The following is a 17,189-nucleotide window of genomic DNA, read 5'->3' as shown; positions in this document are numbered from 1 at the left end:
TAAATTGAAATTTAAGGTAAAAATAGAAATTAGAAAATAGTAATTAGATCTGAGGATATACCCTGAAAGCAGCACAGAGGAGGAAGGAGAAAAAAATATGAGCTCTATGAAGCAATAGTACGGGTAGAATAAAATGGTCCAGAAAAAACATAACAGAATTTAAGAGAATAATGAGAGTGAGGGAAAATAAATATTTGAAGAGTTAATGACTGAGACGTATTTTTTTTTTTTTTTTTTTTTTTTGAGGCGAAGTCTCACTCTGTCGCCCAGCCTGGAGTGCAGTGACACCATCTCGGCTCACTGCAAGCTCCGCCTCCCGGGTTCACGCCATTCTCCTGCCTCAGCCTCCCGAGCAGCTGGGACTACAGGCGCCCGCTACCACACCCGGCTAATTTTTTGTATTTTTAGTAGAGACGGGGTTTCACCATGTTAGCCAGGATGGTCTCGATCTCCTGAGCTAGTGATCCACCCGCCTCGGCCTCCCAAAGTGCTGGGATTACAGGCGTGAGCCACCGCGCCCGGCCATGACTGAGACTTATTTTATAAATAATCAGATTAAAGAAACAGAATGAGTTCCATGTACATTTTTTAAAAAAGAAAATATTATAGTAAAACCGAAGTTCAAGAAAGGCAAAAAAAAGTATTTATGCAAACCATATTAAGAAAGACATATTTCTTGTAACAGGCAGCAAATAGGCAGCAGGTTAATATCTTCAAAGCTCTGAGGGAAAATCATTGTCGATTTACAAATCTGTTTCTATACTCTCATTCAAAGTCTAGTCTACTATCATTCAGTTCAGGGAAAATATAAATGATTGGGTATGTTTAAACATCATTGATTTTTGCAGAAAGACTATTAAAATGTATTTATCTGTAAGAAGAAAATTTAATCCAGAAAGAGGGGTTAGGATTCTAAAAATAAAGAAGTTAACTGATAGTTATTGTGAGTAAACTATAACAAAAAATGATAATGGTGATAATAATAATGACTGATTTGGTGGGGAATGTAACTACTATAGCAAGATAAAATTAAAATAGCGTACAATAGGCTAAGTGCAGTGGCTCACGCCTGTAATCCCAGTACTTTGGGAAGCCGAGGCAGGCGGATTACCTGGTCTGCCTGAGGTCAGGAGTTTGAGATCAGCCTGGCCAACATAATGGAACCCTGTCTCTACTAAAAATACAAAAATTAGCTCGGCGTGGTGGCACGTGCCTGTAATCCCAGCTATTCGGGAGGCGGAGGCAGGAGAATCGCTTCAACCTGGGAAGCGGAGGTTGCAGTGAGCCGAGATTGCCATTGCATTCCAATCTGGACGACAAGAGTGAAACTCTGTCTCAAAGAAAAAAAAAAAAAAAAGTATACAATAATAACATGACATTTTGCAGATACTATAAAAGTGCTCTATTGTACAAATTTATGAAAATTAACTTGAAAAGTTAGATCAAGTGAAAAGGATGAATCACCCTTCAAGTAACAGTATTTACTATAAAGCATACATAATGTAGTACTGGCACAGGTAAATAAAAATAGGATAATTGTTAAAAAGCCAGGAAACAATTATATGCACATACATATTATCTAGATATATAACTCAGGGACATTAGAAATCAGTAAGGAAAAGGAAAAGCATTATTATATATCAGCTAATGAAGTAAGCAAGTAAATAAATAAGTAAATAAATAAATAAAACTGGCCATACATATGGGAAAAATATAGATTCCTACCTTCCACCATAAATTACTATTTTTAATTGTTATTTTAATATTTTATTTTATCACCTTTTAAGTTATTGGGTACATGTGCAGGATGTGCAGGTTTGTTACATAGGGAAACATGAGCCATGGTGTTTTGCTGCGCAGATCACCAACCCATCACCTAGATATAAGCCCAGCACCAATGAGCTGTTCTTCCTGATGCTCCCCCTTTCCCTGCCCACACCCGATAGGCCCCAGTGTATGTTGTTTACCCTGCCCCAACCATGTGTCCATGTGTTCTCATCATTCAGCTCCCACTTATAAGTGAGAACATGCAGTGTTGGGTTTTCTGTTCCTGCATTAATTGGCTGATGATAAAGGCTTTCAGCTCCATTCATGTCCCTGAAAAGGACAAGATCTTGTTCCTTTCACTGTAAATTAAAAAAAAAAAAAACTTTGGAGACTTATTGATGAAAAGCAAAACATTTAAATTGCTTAGAAAGAAAATAAAATATTTATAAACTTAGAAGAGAGAAAAAAATGATAAAAATGTAAACATAAAACACTGAAAAACTTCAGTCCTTTTAATTTTTATGAAGGCTCTGTATGACAAAACATGAATAAAACTAAGACAAGTCAGAGATTGGAAACAGATATTTTCAAAACCCATAATAAAAGATTAGTGTTCAGTATACATCAAGTACTTCACAAGTCAATAAGAAAAATATAACCCTATTTAAAAATGGGCAAGGGGTATGAACAGAAGGAAGTTCAAATAACCAATAAATGTATGAAAACATCTTAAGTCTCACCAGTAATCAAGAAAATGCATATCAAGACTACAAAGAGTTAACATTATATATTATGTTTCGGAAACATGAATGTCTGATTACACTGTGTTATATAGAATACTGATCTCTTATAAACTACTAATATATACTACTCATTTAAATTACTAATAATGGCAACTGGAGAACAATTTGTAATGAATAGCATTAAAGCTGGACATATTCTGTGATCCACCAATTACATTTTGAAGGACCTGCTCTAAAGAAACTTGTATGTACTTAAAGAGAGAGCTACAAGAGTGTTTATTGAAAATTATTTTGAAATGAATTTGAGGAGGTAGGGTGGAGATTTTACCTATATTATGAAGAACTTATTTCTTAAAAAATTAATCTGAATCAAATATGACAAAATATTAACATTTATTAAATCTGGATGGAAGGTAAATGTTACATTAGGTTCTTTACATTTCTGATGCCAAGTATGTTATGATTAAACATATGAAAGAAGAGGCACATTATACATTCAACTGTTGAAGAATGAGTTTTGATGATTTTAAGAGGAGAAAAAGATATAGGCTTTGTTCATTTATAATTAGAGTTAGTGGGTTTATTATTTGGAATCTTTTTTTCACACTTATCTATAACTGGGTATTTCTTCGGTGCAGAAATATATCCATCTGCAGCCGGGCCAGTTTGTAGCATTGACTGTGATATACATATAAATTCATAGTGACAATTTTTTCCTATTGTCCATAGTGATAAAACATGCAAAGACATGTAGCTATTCCTTTGCTTTGCTTTTTAATATACATTAGCACTAATTATTGCACTTTTTCCAGCTAATATTTATTAGTGAGTTTATATCATATAAATACCGAAAATCAGTAATTTTATCCCTGAGCATCATACATTTGTAACAAGGCCATTCTTCACTGAAATTTCTTTCTTTCTTTCTTTCTTTCTTTCTTTTTTTTTAATTATACTTAAGTTCTGGGATACATGTGCAGAATGTGCAAGTTTGTTAGATAGGTGTGCAAGTTTGTTAGATAGGTATACATGTGCCGTGGTGGTTTGCTGCACCCATCAACTTGTCATCTACATTAGGTATTTTTCCTAATGCTATCCCTCCCCTAGCCTCCCGCACCCACTGACAGGCCTCAGTGTGTGATGTTCCCCTCCCTGGGTCCATGTGTTCTCATTGTTCAACTCCCACTTATGAGTGAGAACATGTGGTATTTGGTTTTCTGTTCCTGTGTTACTTTGCTAAGAATGATGGTTTCCACCTTCATCCATGTCCCTGCATGAATTCATCCTTTTTATGGATGTATAGTATTCTATGGTGTATAAAGGACCCCTTCAAGGAGAAAAACAAACCACTGCTCAAGGAAATAAGAGAACACAAACAAATGGAAAAACATTCCATGGTCATGGACAGGAAGAATCAATATCGTGAAAATGGCCATACTGCCCAAAGTAATTTATAGATTCAATGCTATCCCCATCAAGCTATCATTGACTTTCTTCACAGAATCAGAAAAAAACTACTTTAAATTTCATATAGAATGAAAAAAGAGCCTGTATAGCCGAGAAAATCCCAGCCAAAAAGAACAAAGCTGGAGGCATCACATTACCTGATTTCAAACTATACTATAAGACTACAGTAACCAAAACAGCATGGTACTGGTACCAAAACAGATATATAGACCAATGGGACAGAACACAGGCCTCAGAAATAACACCACACATCTACAACCTTCTGATCTTTGACAAACCTGACAAAAACAAGCAATGGGGAAAGGATCCCCTATTTAATAAATGGTGTTGGGAAAACTGGCTAGCCATATACAGAAAACTGAAACTGGACCCCTTTCTTACACCTGAGATTTATTTATTCATAGATATGTGTCCCCAGCTATATAGGGCTCTTTGAGAAAAAGATTGTACTTTATTCATTTATAGGCCCTTAAGGTTTGACATGTAGTAATACTCAATACATTTTTGTGGAAAAGCATTGTTTACATTTTCAGTCACACAAGTACTAATGAGAATATGTTATGTAGATGAGTCACATGATACATATATACTTAGAGCAAAATATAACTGTTTTAATCTTCCCCTTTCTACTAGTTTGTATAGAAGTAACTAATATCAAGATCTTGGCATTCCTCTGAATTGAAGTTAAATATTATGTACATATTCTTTACCAAAATATTCTACGTACTATATATTCCACCCTTTTGTTTAATAATCAGCTAATCGCTTGGAGAACCCAAGGTACGAGGATCACTTGAGGCCAGGAGTTCAAGACCAGCCTGGGCAATATAGCAAGACCTCATCTCTAGAAAGAGAAAAAATTTAAAAATTAGCCAAGCATGATGGTATGTGCCTACTGTCCTACCTACCCTGGAGGCTGAGGGAGGAAGATTACTTGAGCCCAGGAGTTCAAGGCTGCAGTGAGCTATGATCGTAACACTGCACTCCATCCTGGGTGACAGAACAAGGTCTTGTCTCAAAATAGTAATAATAATAATAATAATAATAATTTACTAACATCAGACATTAGCCAAAGGACTATCAAATATACATATCAAATATGCAAACAAACCAATCAAAATCTTTGTACAATTAATTTTTTACATTAACTTACTTATGTCTCAATAGTTATTTTGTTTGGTCTATATTCAACACTGAAATTACATAGCTTTTCAGGCCACCAGATATTAATTCCTTGGATTGAATTTTGGCTCTGTTTTTAAAAATAATTATCTCTGATATAAATAGATTATTTTTAAACAAAAATCATTCATGTGCTAGGCAGAAAATGTATGATAGTTAATGGCTTGATTTAAACATTGTATTTACCTTGAGAATTCAGAGGAGGCTCACATAGTGTGTGTGTTGAGGCATGAACCCAAAGCTGCTTAAATGGATTACTGTTGCATCTCAAACTCAGCTGCACTGGTAGGTTTCCGTCATAGGAGAGGCTTTAAAAATAAAATTATAAAGGAAAAGGTCTGTCCAGGTACTGATTATATACAGATGGAAAATGTCTGAAAAATTTGTTTTACTTATACAGCAGAGCTGCAAATGTTATTTATCTCAATCAGCAGAGCAATGGTTAGAGACTAGTAGGATTAACTGTAGGAAGCTGCCACCTTTACAGCAGACACATCTGCCCACAGAGAGCCAGGGAAGATGGTTGTATAAATATGGCAATGACTTCATTCAGTTGACATTATATCCATCTTTCAAGCAACTTTTGCTACTGAGAATTTTATGGCCATTCTTCTATTGAGTCTTCTGGTCTTTCTCAGTTTGTGGATTTTTCTATTTTGTCATAGATGCATTTGACAAATATATTTTGAGTATCTACTGTTTACTGAGCATTTGCATAACATGAACACGAGTCCTAACTGCACTGTGTTTTCTACCTCCAACTGCCTATTTAAGAAACAATAGTTATTACTGTCATAAGTTAAATCTTAGCTGGCAGGGCCAATTTATTTTATAAGGATCTTGTACTATAAAAAAATTTATAAAGCCTCTTGGTCAGGTGTGTAAAAAAGGTCACTAAAGGTTCAACATAAAGGCAAAACCAGTAAACAAATTGATCAAACATCAAAGATCTCTCCAAGCCTTAGTTTTAGTGATCCATGAAGTTTTAACTCATGAAGAGAATGCAAAAATTATAGAAAGATATAAAAAATTATAATGTCAGTCCCATCAGAGTAAATTAACATCCTTTGATTCTCTCTATGATATCAGTGGTTTGAAAGTTCAAGGCATTTTGTCTCACCTCTTTATTGTCTGATTCTGTCTAAGGTGTTAAAAACAAAATTTTCTAATCATTAACTTAGGGATGATTGTTTATCCCCGTTCTTTTTATCTACTTTAGTCTTTTAGTTGAATACACTTTTAACTACAACATGGCTTGGAACAACTTGTGTGCAGAAATAATAAATACCTTTACATCACAGCAATATTAGAGTAAGCTACGGTCCTGCTGAGTAGCTCTTTGAAAACTAAGCAGGAGTTACCATGTATATTTATTCGTTGGATTTCTGTGGCACTTTTCCTCCAGAGAGTACAGGGTATAATATGGATAAATTTGCACAGGGGTTGCCTTAGAGTGTCAAAAGGAAATTAAAGGAAAGGAGTGCTTGTAGGAGCATAGAGCAAAAGAAATAGCTAATGGAAAAACCAAACCCTGGTTGGCAGCAAGGCATGTCAAAGGAGGTAGAAGAAGCTGGGCTACCCCAGGGGTACCACTGTTGACTTTTTGGGACACTGAATCATTTCACCACAGCCTATGTATCCGGTGAGCACTCGAGATTTCTGTTCAATATCATTTGAAGACCCACAATAATGATCATAGACTCATAGGGCAGGAAAGGAACTTTAAAAATATCTGCCCAATTCTCTTAATTTACAGATGAGGCACATCGAACCCAGAGAAAACAAATAAATAAATTAGAAGCAAAGTCAGGGTCAGAAACAAGATCATTCATTCCTTGAATAAACGTAGATTAAATGTGTTGTGCTAAGCACTGTTCTAGGCACAGGAGTTACCTTAGTGTGAGTAACATGAACATGGGTTCTGACTACCAATGTCCTGTCTTACACTGTCTTGTTCTACCTCCAATTGCCTATGAGGGTATTCAACATCCTTTACAATATACTTTTGTTGTTGTTGTTGTTGTTGATTCCACAGATGAAACTCTCTTAAGGGATAGACCTCAAGTGACTTTGTTAAGAGAAGGAAGTTCTTTTCCAAGTGTCTGCAAGTGTGTTGACATTCTTTGATTCTTCATTGCTCATAGGGCACTTCTGTCAGATCAGCTGGAAAACATTTACTATATTGAGTCTAGTTTGTGTGCCACTGGAAGGCAGGCTTTCCTTGCCATCATGAGCAGTTTATTTTTGTCCTCTGGTAGGACTGGCAAAGGGCTAAAACCTTATCTCTCATTGGAAGAAACAGTTGTCTCTTAGCATTGACCTTATCTTAAAGGTGCCTCACATAATAGTCTAAACTCTAATAAGATAATGGAAGTAGTTAATGTTAGAATCAAATGTGAAAATTCTTCAAAGGAGCATGATTTAAAAGCTGCCATAAATCTACCTCCCCAAAGGTGATATTTCAGTCATCCACTGAACACTGGATGTCACTACAAGAAAACCTGGGTTTTTTTATTTTTTATTTTTTATTTTTTTTAAAAAGAGTAGTTTGCTCTTTTTAGTTTAACACTCGATTTGAACCCCTGTCCATCCTCCAGTAACTATGTCAAAAAATCGTCCTGTAATAGAGGCCTCAGTTCTTTTACAGGTACAACTAATGACTTCTAAAACTACGGACCTTCACTCAGGCATTTGGGAGGAGACTTCATCCTGCTCACTTTGCCCTTGGTCCCAGGCCATTCTCTAAAGAAATAAAGTGTTTACCTTGTAAGTTGTGGATAAGGCTGGCTGGTGGGCAGAGAAGTGATATTCCTTGGACCAAATGGAGCTGGGGAGGAGAAAAGAGAAGGATGCTTGTGTTTCCAGTCACCCTAACAGCCCTGATAGTCCTCTTAGTCCTCTTGGAGGATATGAGTGGGATTGGGTTCCAGGGACACCTGTTTGTGCCTGCAGGGGCAGATTCATGGTGGTTCTGCCTCTCCCCTTGCCTGGCAGCTCTCTTCCCCATGCCTGGCAATTCCTGTATTGGCTGATTTACCTGCGAGGCTGTATGTGGATCTGTCTTTATGTGGCCACTGCCGCCAGCACGTACTGTCAAGATAGAGGGAAGCCAAAGCGAGGATTGTAACTGCCCAAGCCTAGAGAGGGAGGTGAGCTGCCTCCGGACTTGACTGCAGCTTCCCTTCCTCCTGACACACATGGAGTTTGGTGGCGACGGTGCCGGTGCCGAAGAACTGCAGACAAATACTTAGCCAACTGGATGTGTGTGAGCTGGCTACAAAGGCAGCGCCTGCCTCACCCGGACCTCCTGCTGGCAGGATGTAAATATACCTGCAGACTGGCCAAACAGGACTGCCTTTTCTCCCCCAACCCCTCCCTCCTCCCACCCTCTCCCTCAGCTAACCAGCATGAGAGGAACTGAGAAAGCAACAGCCTGCAAGTGACAGCTCCAGCCTGATTCTGTTCGTCTCTGAGCCGAGGTGGGAAGTTGATTGTGCGGCAGCTTCATTGTGAATTCCTTCCATTGGCATCGCTATGTTTGCCTCTATCTGGTATGCTAAGAAGCTGGGTCGCAGGTTCGTGCACAATGCCAGGAAGGCGAAATCAGAGAAGGTATGGAATGAGTGGGGTTGAAAATTACCTTTCCGGTTTGCCAACTGCCTGCTCTGGACCATTGGTCTGAGTACAGACGCAGTCTTTATTTGCTTGGAGTGAGAACCTGCCTCTCACTGTGAATGTGGTCCTTGCCACTATGAAAAGGGGTAACACTTAGAGCCTAGCTTGCTTGGGAGGGGAGCATTAAGGGTTAAGCAAGATCATTGGCTATTCAAAATGCGTGGTGAAATCATCAACTGATACAGTGTCTTCACAGAGACTTAAGATTCCTTTAAATTACATAGGATGAAAGCAATTGAGCAGCTGCAGTTTATGCTTGTTCAGAGAGCTCTCTAGTAAACTTGTTGCTGTACTGCATTATTTTTATTATTGTGATCTTTGGTTCTGAAGTGGGCGTTATAAATACCTGAGCCTTTCTCTAGTACATGTGTTACAGTGTGTGTCCTAGGAACATATATCTGGGACTCTCAGTAACGTTGACCAGACTCTACAGGGGTGCTTGGTATCTTATCACTAAGCCATCGTTTCAAAAGTGTTCACAATGAGCAAGAATTATATTTATAATCAGGTAGTTGTGGCCATTTAAAGAATAGATTTGCATTTCTTGTATTCAGCATGACCAGTCATTTCCAGAGAATCTCTGTGTAGACTTACCTAATTAGTTATATTTCCCTGAGAAATTAAAATGGCCTGTAAGTCCTAAGGTATATTACATGCTTGGAGATAACAGAAGATGATAGCTTACATCTCTAATTCTCCAGTGCTTTCTGGGGCACTGTCCAAACTGTCATATTTAGGGAATCAATATCCAATGCGGTAGGCATTGGGGAAACTTCCAAAGGTAACAAAATCTTGTGAAACAGATTTTTCATATTCCTCTGAGGATATGATCTTCAGCCCAGTATCTTTACTGCTTTATGTAAACTCATGAGATTGACCCAGAGATGGCTCTCCTGGCCTGTGGCACAGTGTTTTCTCTCACCTAGAAAGATGCCTTCACTATAACTTGCTATTCATTCCTTCAGAGTGGAAATGATAAAATGAACAAGAATCCAGTGATGAACCAAGATACGAATTTTTTTAGCTTTAGAAGAGAAAATATCACTGGGGTTCTGACTTTAGAGCCTCTTATAATGTCCAGATCTGACAATTTTAGAACGTAACTGACTTGTTATTTAATAACACTTTTGGTGGATGAGGGAGGGGAGGATTGGGCTGGAATTGGTCTCTTCTCCACTCTATATAGCCCAGATAAAAAGATTACAAGCCTAACTATTATGTGTCAACTAGTATCATATATATTGAACAGTTGGCTTTTGAGGTTGTGTTTTGTTTTGACTTTCAAGTAATTTTGCAGGAAAGAGACTTGTAAGTGGGTCTTTTATTGGAACAAATGTTTTAGAAAAGTCCTTTCTTCCTATAAAAATTATAAGTTGTATGGATGAGAGAACTGTCAGAGACCATAAATGGCTCTGACAGCCACTGGGAGATAATGTCTTATGCCAAATTAGTATGCAAAGAAAGTTGAATCTCCCAGAAGCACTTATTTCAAGCCTGGACCCAAATGTAGGAAATAGCAGCTCTATAAAATTCAGTGTATAGAACCTAAAAAGACATTGATACAACAAAGTAATCTGAGCTTCTGCTTCTTAAGGAGCTAGTAAGGGGCTTTCAATCTGTCCCATCCATTTCTGTGATGGCTAATGTTTAAAACAAGCCAGAAGAAACCAAGTTTGATTTTAAGGGTTCAAATTATTTAATTACCTTACTCAGAGAGTAAGATACATTTACATCAGGAAATCTACATTAGAGAACTGAAGGTTTGCTCTCTGAGTGACAAAGACCAAAGGAAATAACAACTCTACTGCCTTTGTGCTAGGAAGAGAGCTAGGAGGAGTTAATTTTGAACATTAGGTCATGATAAGCAACATGAAATAACATCTTGGTATTTTTTAATGGAATTTGTATTCACAGAGTTCCTGAAATAAATTAAAAGGTGTGTTGCCTCAAAAAATGTAGGCACTCAGTCGATGCCTGGTGAATGGAAATAGTTCATTTATTTTGTATACCTAATTTTATAACATAGCTTATTTAAAACTATAATTTTAAATTAATTTTTTTCTAAGGGTTCAGTATGTACTTTAGCTGAGAAGACAGTTAACAAATAATACAACAAGCTGAATTAATTTACATAATGTATTCCTATAATATCAAAGATCATATAGTTGCAAAACAGTGGGGCATGTAAAGTGCTACTAACGATATGTTGCCATGGTTTATCAACAGATGGAAGAAGATGTATAAAATAAGATTATTATTGAATTTTGTTTAGAAAATGACCAGTATACTTAATTGTGAAAGATCATATTTTAGCATTTGGGGAGATATATCTTTACAATGGACAATGATTGTGATTTTTAGTACCCTCTATAAATTCTGGGCTTTTCTTTTTTTTTTTTTTTTTTTCAGTAGGTGACAGTTTATTTCTTCACACTCTAATAAAACAACCTGAACTCACCATAGCCCTTCACTTCTATTTTAACACTGAAAAGTATTTTCCTCAAGGTTGGGGTTAATTGAAAAGCTCTTAATAATTAGGAACATGCAAGACTAAATGCCATCCTAAACACTCAGTGTGACTTATTACTAGTTGTCTTGTCTACTGTTTTGCCTCAGCTAATGTCACTAGAACTCAGTAGCATCACAAAATGACCATCATAATGCTCACAACAATAATAATATTAATGATAGTAATCTCCATACAGCTTATACATTAGCTTCTTTATACATAAAATTTAATCTAATTATCACAACAGCCCTATTAAATAGAAATTATTTTTCCTGAATCCTAGAGAGAAGAGTAGCTAGCCCAAGGTCACAGGATTAGTGGTAAGTCTCAGTGTTGGGATTTGCACCAAGTCAGCCCAAGGTATTCCAAAACTGACTCCTTGTGTCTCTAGCGCCTTCTTCCTTCCACTCATCATTCTTCTAGATCCACTAATCTGTCTTGTCTGAATAAGGTTACTCATCTTTTCTTATCTTGTCCCTCTCTTTTATATTAGAATTTCAAAGTGATAATGTTTACAGAATCAAAGTTACTGATTGTGTAACTCAACCTCTTTATTTCAGATAAGACTATACATAAACTATATTGAATAAACAGTTTTCTTTCATGTTGTTAAAGATTTTACATTCTTTGTCCTCTATCATTGGTTAAGTGTAGCAAACTTGTTTTGTCACCTATTATTCTTTTTTTTTTTTTTTTTGAGATGGAGTCTCACTGTAGCTCAGACTGGAGTACAGTGGCACAATCACTGCTTAAACTGCAGTCTCAACCTCTCCAGACTCAGGTGATCCTCCCACCGCAGCCTTCCGAGTAGCTGGGAACACATGTGTGTGTCAATATGCCCGGCTAATTTTTGTATTTTTTTGTAGAGATGAGGTTTCCCCATGTTCCCCAAAGTGGTCTCGAACTCCTGAGCTCAAGTGATCTGCCCACCTTGGCCTCCCAAAGTGCTGGGATTACAGGCATGAGCCACCATGCTGGGACACCTATTATTCTATTTGAATAGCTTTTAATTGTCATATCATTTTAACCTTAACGTTGGCATTTGTACTCATTGCTTATTCCTATAGAATCCAAAAATGTCTTTAATCAAAAAGGACCTAAATGCCTGGCAATTGTACATGTGCTCTCTTTTTGAAAAAAGTCAAAGATGTTAGGTGATTCACATTGACATTTTTCTAAATAAGCTACATAAGAGATTCTTTGTTATTCTTTCATTTAAAAGTTCATTTGTACCAACAAATTCTCTGAATAAAATTATTTTAAAAGTGATAATGTGAAATCCAGATTGCCTGGCTGGGATAGAATACCTCCATTCAAATAATTATTCCTTTCTTCTTTGTTTTGACCCTGTGTAAGTAATTCAGAAGTTAGTATCTTACTTGTATGCCTGTTGTCACGTTTCAACTTAAATCTCTTAATTAGACAATCTCCAGATTGTCTTACTCTAAAAGGCCAGTTGAAGAATCTTTAAGATAAATTGAAAGTGCAATTTCTGGTTACGTAGTAATATACAAGAGTATTAAAATACCAAAACTTGTGAACCTTCACTTCCCCGTCAGCAATATATTGCTTATTTCATTTGTTTTGTTTTAATTTTTATATTTATCTTTTTAGTGCACATTATGAAAAGTACTTTCATGATGCATTTAGGAAAGACTAGTATCAATATTCATAATCTAACAGACACACCTGTAGATGAGCTTGGCAGTTTATAACCTATGAGTGATGTAACCAACCCCACATATCCTGACATTAGGCCATACTCACCTTGGAAAACTTTTTTTGAATTTTTTTGACAGGGCCTCACTCTGTGGCCCAGACTAGAGTACAGTGATGTGATCTCAGCTCACTGAAACCTCTGCCTCTTGGGTTCAAGCAATTCTCGTGTCTCAGCTTCCTGAGTAGCTGGGACTGCAGACATGTGCCACCACAGCTGACTAATTTTTTGCGTTTTTAGTAGAGATGGGCTTTCACCATGTTGCCCAGGCTGGTCTCGAACTCCTGGACTCAAGCAATCCATTTCAGCCTCCCATAGTGCTGGGATTATAGGTGTGAGCCCCCATGCCTGGCCCACCTTGGAAAACTTTTTAAAAACCAGCACACTAGTTCTACTCTCCCCCTTGTCTAAACCAAACACATTAATTCAACAAAAACTAAAATGGAGGATAAACTAGTAATACATTTGCTGGCAGTAGGACCAAGGAAAGAGAATTATGTCCTGGTGATCTTAGTAGAATATAAGGGGCACCAGGTTTCAGGCAAGGATTTAGAGGGAGGGGATTAAATTAGCCTTGCTCTTTGCTATCCAGCCTGAAGTCAGTCACTTGGTTTCTCTGGCCTCAGTTTTCTCATCTGTCAAATAGAAGTAACATTTATGCTTCAGTAGATCTCCAATGTCCTCAAGACAGTGTTCAAACCATTAATATAATCTACAAAACCCATCATGATATGGCCTCTGCTTTCCTCTCTGTCATCATACCTTGTACCTCTTCTATCAGCACTTTAAATCCAGAATTCTGAACTACTTTCAAATCCCTAAATGGCCCATGCTCTCTCTAGCTTCCAGGATTTTGCTTAATCTGTTTGGCTAACCAGCTAATCACAGCCTGGCTGTATCCATCACTTATTCCACTCTAGCCTTAGGTGACATCACCATCACTAGGAAACTTTTCTTGGCCTCTAAAGCCCAGGATGGATCTATCATCAGCTCCCACAGCAACTTGTGCATTTGTTGTAATTATCTTCATTTTTCTACAATCCTCAGTAGATTTGAAATGAATGATTTCTCAATCTTATTCAACATATTTCTAGGGTCTAAAAGAATGCTTGACACATAGTTGTCTTTCGTATGATATTTAATTGATTTGAAGTTGTCATCAATTTTGAGATGTGTCATTATTTCATCTATTACTAAAAAAAAGATTGCCAATGAAACCATAACACATCATGAATTGCAAGATGCATCTTGATTTCACAGGTGTTAAAAAGTGAAAAATATTTATTCTTAGAATTAATAATATATGACATAATGGTGAAGAATGAATGATTTACTTTGAGGATAAAATGAGTTAATATAAATAAAGTGTTTAAAATATTATACTTGCTATCAAATTATTTTTATTTATCTGGTAATATTAATAATAGTTTTCATACAGAGTATTATATGGAACACTGAGATATATCATATATTTTGACTTGTGCCAGTCAGACTCAACAAATATTATGTGTCCTATTCTGAATTTAGGAAGGTAAATGATAAAGGAAAAAAATGAAAATTAACATTATGAAATGAATTAAAAGATATAATCAAACTGGAACCATTTAGATTGCAGAAGAGAAAACTTAAGAAGCCTTCCAGACTCCCACTATATATTTATATGTCTAAACAACAATGGTTAATATTTATTGAATTTGTTCTATGAGCTGAGAACTGTGAATATAAAGACCCAGTGAGATTATTACTACTAGTTTTTAGAGAGAAAACATATCACCAGTAGGTGACTATGATTAGACATCCTGTATGATTCTAGACCTTGATCTCCTCACTGGTAGATAATACTCTGCTTCTGTATGTTTGCGTATACTATATATTGTGTGTGTATATATATGTTATGTGTAATACATATTATACTATGTTTATAAAATCATGTAGGTTTATGATGAGTTAGATACTAAGTTTATTTTTCCTGTGAAAAATAAATTTTAAAAATTAAATGCAAAATCTGAAATTTATCTCAGGCATAAGTAGTGTCCTGATATTGAAGATTCACCAGTCCTCAGTGATCATTTTATTTCTATTTTTGCCTCATAGTAGATTGAAGAGTGGTCTGACCTGGAGAGAAGGATGAACAGATTGTCCTCTTAGATCCCTTTCTTAGAGGCTTGTGAGTCTCTCAAAGCTCCTCAGTTGTGAGCAGCAGCATGACTCAGCGCCAGTGTCTGCCTAGCTGTGGTGACAGAGAGGACAGGTGTTTGTCCATGCTGAACGCAGCCCTGCTGCAGTTCTCCTCTGTCACCTGGAAGGTGAATCAAGCAGCAAAATGGACAGTAGCACCTGTTCTGAGGTCCCAGAACTGCTGCCCACCCTGGCAGAGCAAAAAGCACAACTGTTATAAGGTCAGGGAAAGTAGACAAAGGGCAGGATCAGAGAAATGGCCAAAGTGAAGGAAGGCAGGAGTAGGCTGGAGGGCAAGATAGTTGGTCACAAAACCACTGTAAAATTGTGACTAGTTGTAGGAATGACTATTAAGCAGTTTACTCGAGCATTATTACATGTATTTTACACATACCATCTCATTTAATTCTTACTACAGCCTTCTGAGGTACTCTTATTAGCTGCATTTCCTTCTCTTTTTTTTTTCTTTTCTTTTTTTTTTTTGAGATGGAGTCTCCCTCTGTTGCCAGGCTGGAGTGAAGTGGCACGATCTCGGCTCACTACAACCTCCGACTCCCTGGTTCAAGCAATTCTACTGCCTCAGCCTCCTGAGTAGCTGGGATTACAGGCACCCACCACCAAGCTCAGCTAATTTTTTTTGTATTTCTAGTAGAGATGGGGTTTCACCATGTTGGCCAGGATGGTCTCGATCTCCTGACCTTGTGATCTACCTGCCTTGGACTCCCAAAGTACTGGGATTACAGGTGTGAACCACTGTGCCTGGCTATTAGCTGCATTTCATAGATGAACTAAGGTATAAGATGTTATGGGATTTTGCCATAGGTCACAAGTGGTGGAGCCAGCATTCAGGAACAGGTTTACTGAATCTACAGCCTGTGACCCTAGCCCCAACTCATATTTTATGTTCTTCTTTAAACCTACCTTCAGTTGGATGGACCTCTGATATGGAGAAGAGATAAGCTGGAAATGAGACCTGACTTCTCAGTTATGGTCCTTCAGAAACCAGGTATCCAGATAGCCTTGTTTCAGTCTAGTTTACAAAACTTTAATTGCATTTTTTTCTTAATATAACTTTAGAATGATATTCCTCTACCTGATATTGTTGAGTGATATTACGTTGGAAAATGAAGATGAAAGGAGACATTCTCCAACACAGCAAGATTAATTTAAGCATGATTATCATTGTAAAGATAAATTTGATAATCAGATAATCTGCATGTTTTATTTGCACATGTATTGCAGGAATGAGGCTATTAGAGAAGCCATCCCGCTTTAAAAAATGCCTCGTAGTATTTGCTTATATCTGAGGTAGTCTTATTTCCTCAAATATCTTATTAAATCTTTAATTATTAAACCATTATAAATTCTGTCCTATTTGGTCTGGACACCTAGCATCTATAAGGTCCTAAATGAACCCTGGTTGGATGATTCACTTGGATGGGACACTCTCAGCTGTATTAAGTATAGGAATTAAGACCAGATTAGAGGTCAGTAGGCCTGGGTGTTAACTGGCTCTGCCCCACAACCTGTGCCACCTTGGTTAAGTGTCCAAGCTTTCATGGGCCTGAGTTCATCTGCAAGCAGATTCCTCCCCACTCAAACATTTTTTGATTCTAATTCTGATTTTCTATAAGACTGCAGAATCCTTAAAGGGAAAGATTTGTACTCATTTGTCTTTGTATTCTCAGCACCTAGCAAAACGCCTAGCACTAGATGAAACAGAACATTTATGCCAAATGACTATACACAAAAGGTCTGGAACTTCCTTGACCATTAGTAAGAAGAATGTAAAGGAGACTCTGTCCACCTTCAAAGTGAGAGCAAGATGAAAAATGCTCAGGGGCTCTTCTTTTTCAAATGCCTTTTTTCTTTGGAGAAAGAGGAATTATGAGGCATTTTATAGCATTGCGTTTGAGGCTTTGGTTCTCTTCCTTTCTCACCCTCCATGCCA

The 17,189-nt window shown here is 37.1% G+C and overlaps 1 protein-coding gene across 38 annotated transcripts in view, besides 1 other annotated feature; it reads left to right on the top strand.

Moving 5' to 3' along the window:
• The window catches only part of DLG2 (discs large MAGUK scaffold protein 2), a 2,173,362-nt gene that overhangs the window by 1,182,215 nt on the left and 973,958 nt on the right, over nucleotides 1-17,189 (top strand). For 4 of the 38 annotated variants that reach the window (XM_047426505.1, NM_001377973.1, XM_047426503.1 and 1 more), the window contains exon 1: nucleotides 8,353-8,771. The exons of the other annotated variants lie outside the window; for them this stretch is intronic. In XM_047426505.1, the coding sequence (XP_047282461.1) occupies nucleotides 8,694-8,771 (78 nt within the window). In that variant the 5' untranslated portion in view covers nucleotides 8,353-8,693. Of the gene's footprint in view, nucleotides 1-8,352; nucleotides 8,772-17,189 lie in introns of those variants that run through there. 38 annotated transcript variants of the gene reach the window in all.
• Nucleotides 8,659-8,708: an enhancer, noted in NCBI's record as "active region_5357". NCBI's record gives its function as "activates an Ori minimal core promoter by ATAC-STARR-seq in GM12878 lymphoblastoid cells {active_cell/tissue: GM12878}" and the evidence as "EXISTENCE:reporter gene assay evidence [ECO:0000049][PMID:35858748]".

Source organism: Homo sapiens, chromosome 11, assembly GCF_000001405.40.
Source record: "Homo sapiens chromosome 11, GRCh38.p14 Primary Assembly".
Classification (NCBI taxonomy): domain Eukaryota; kingdom Metazoa; phylum Chordata; class Mammalia; order Primates; family Hominidae; genus Homo; species Homo sapiens.
This window is presented reverse-complemented; position numbering and strand designations above follow the sequence as displayed.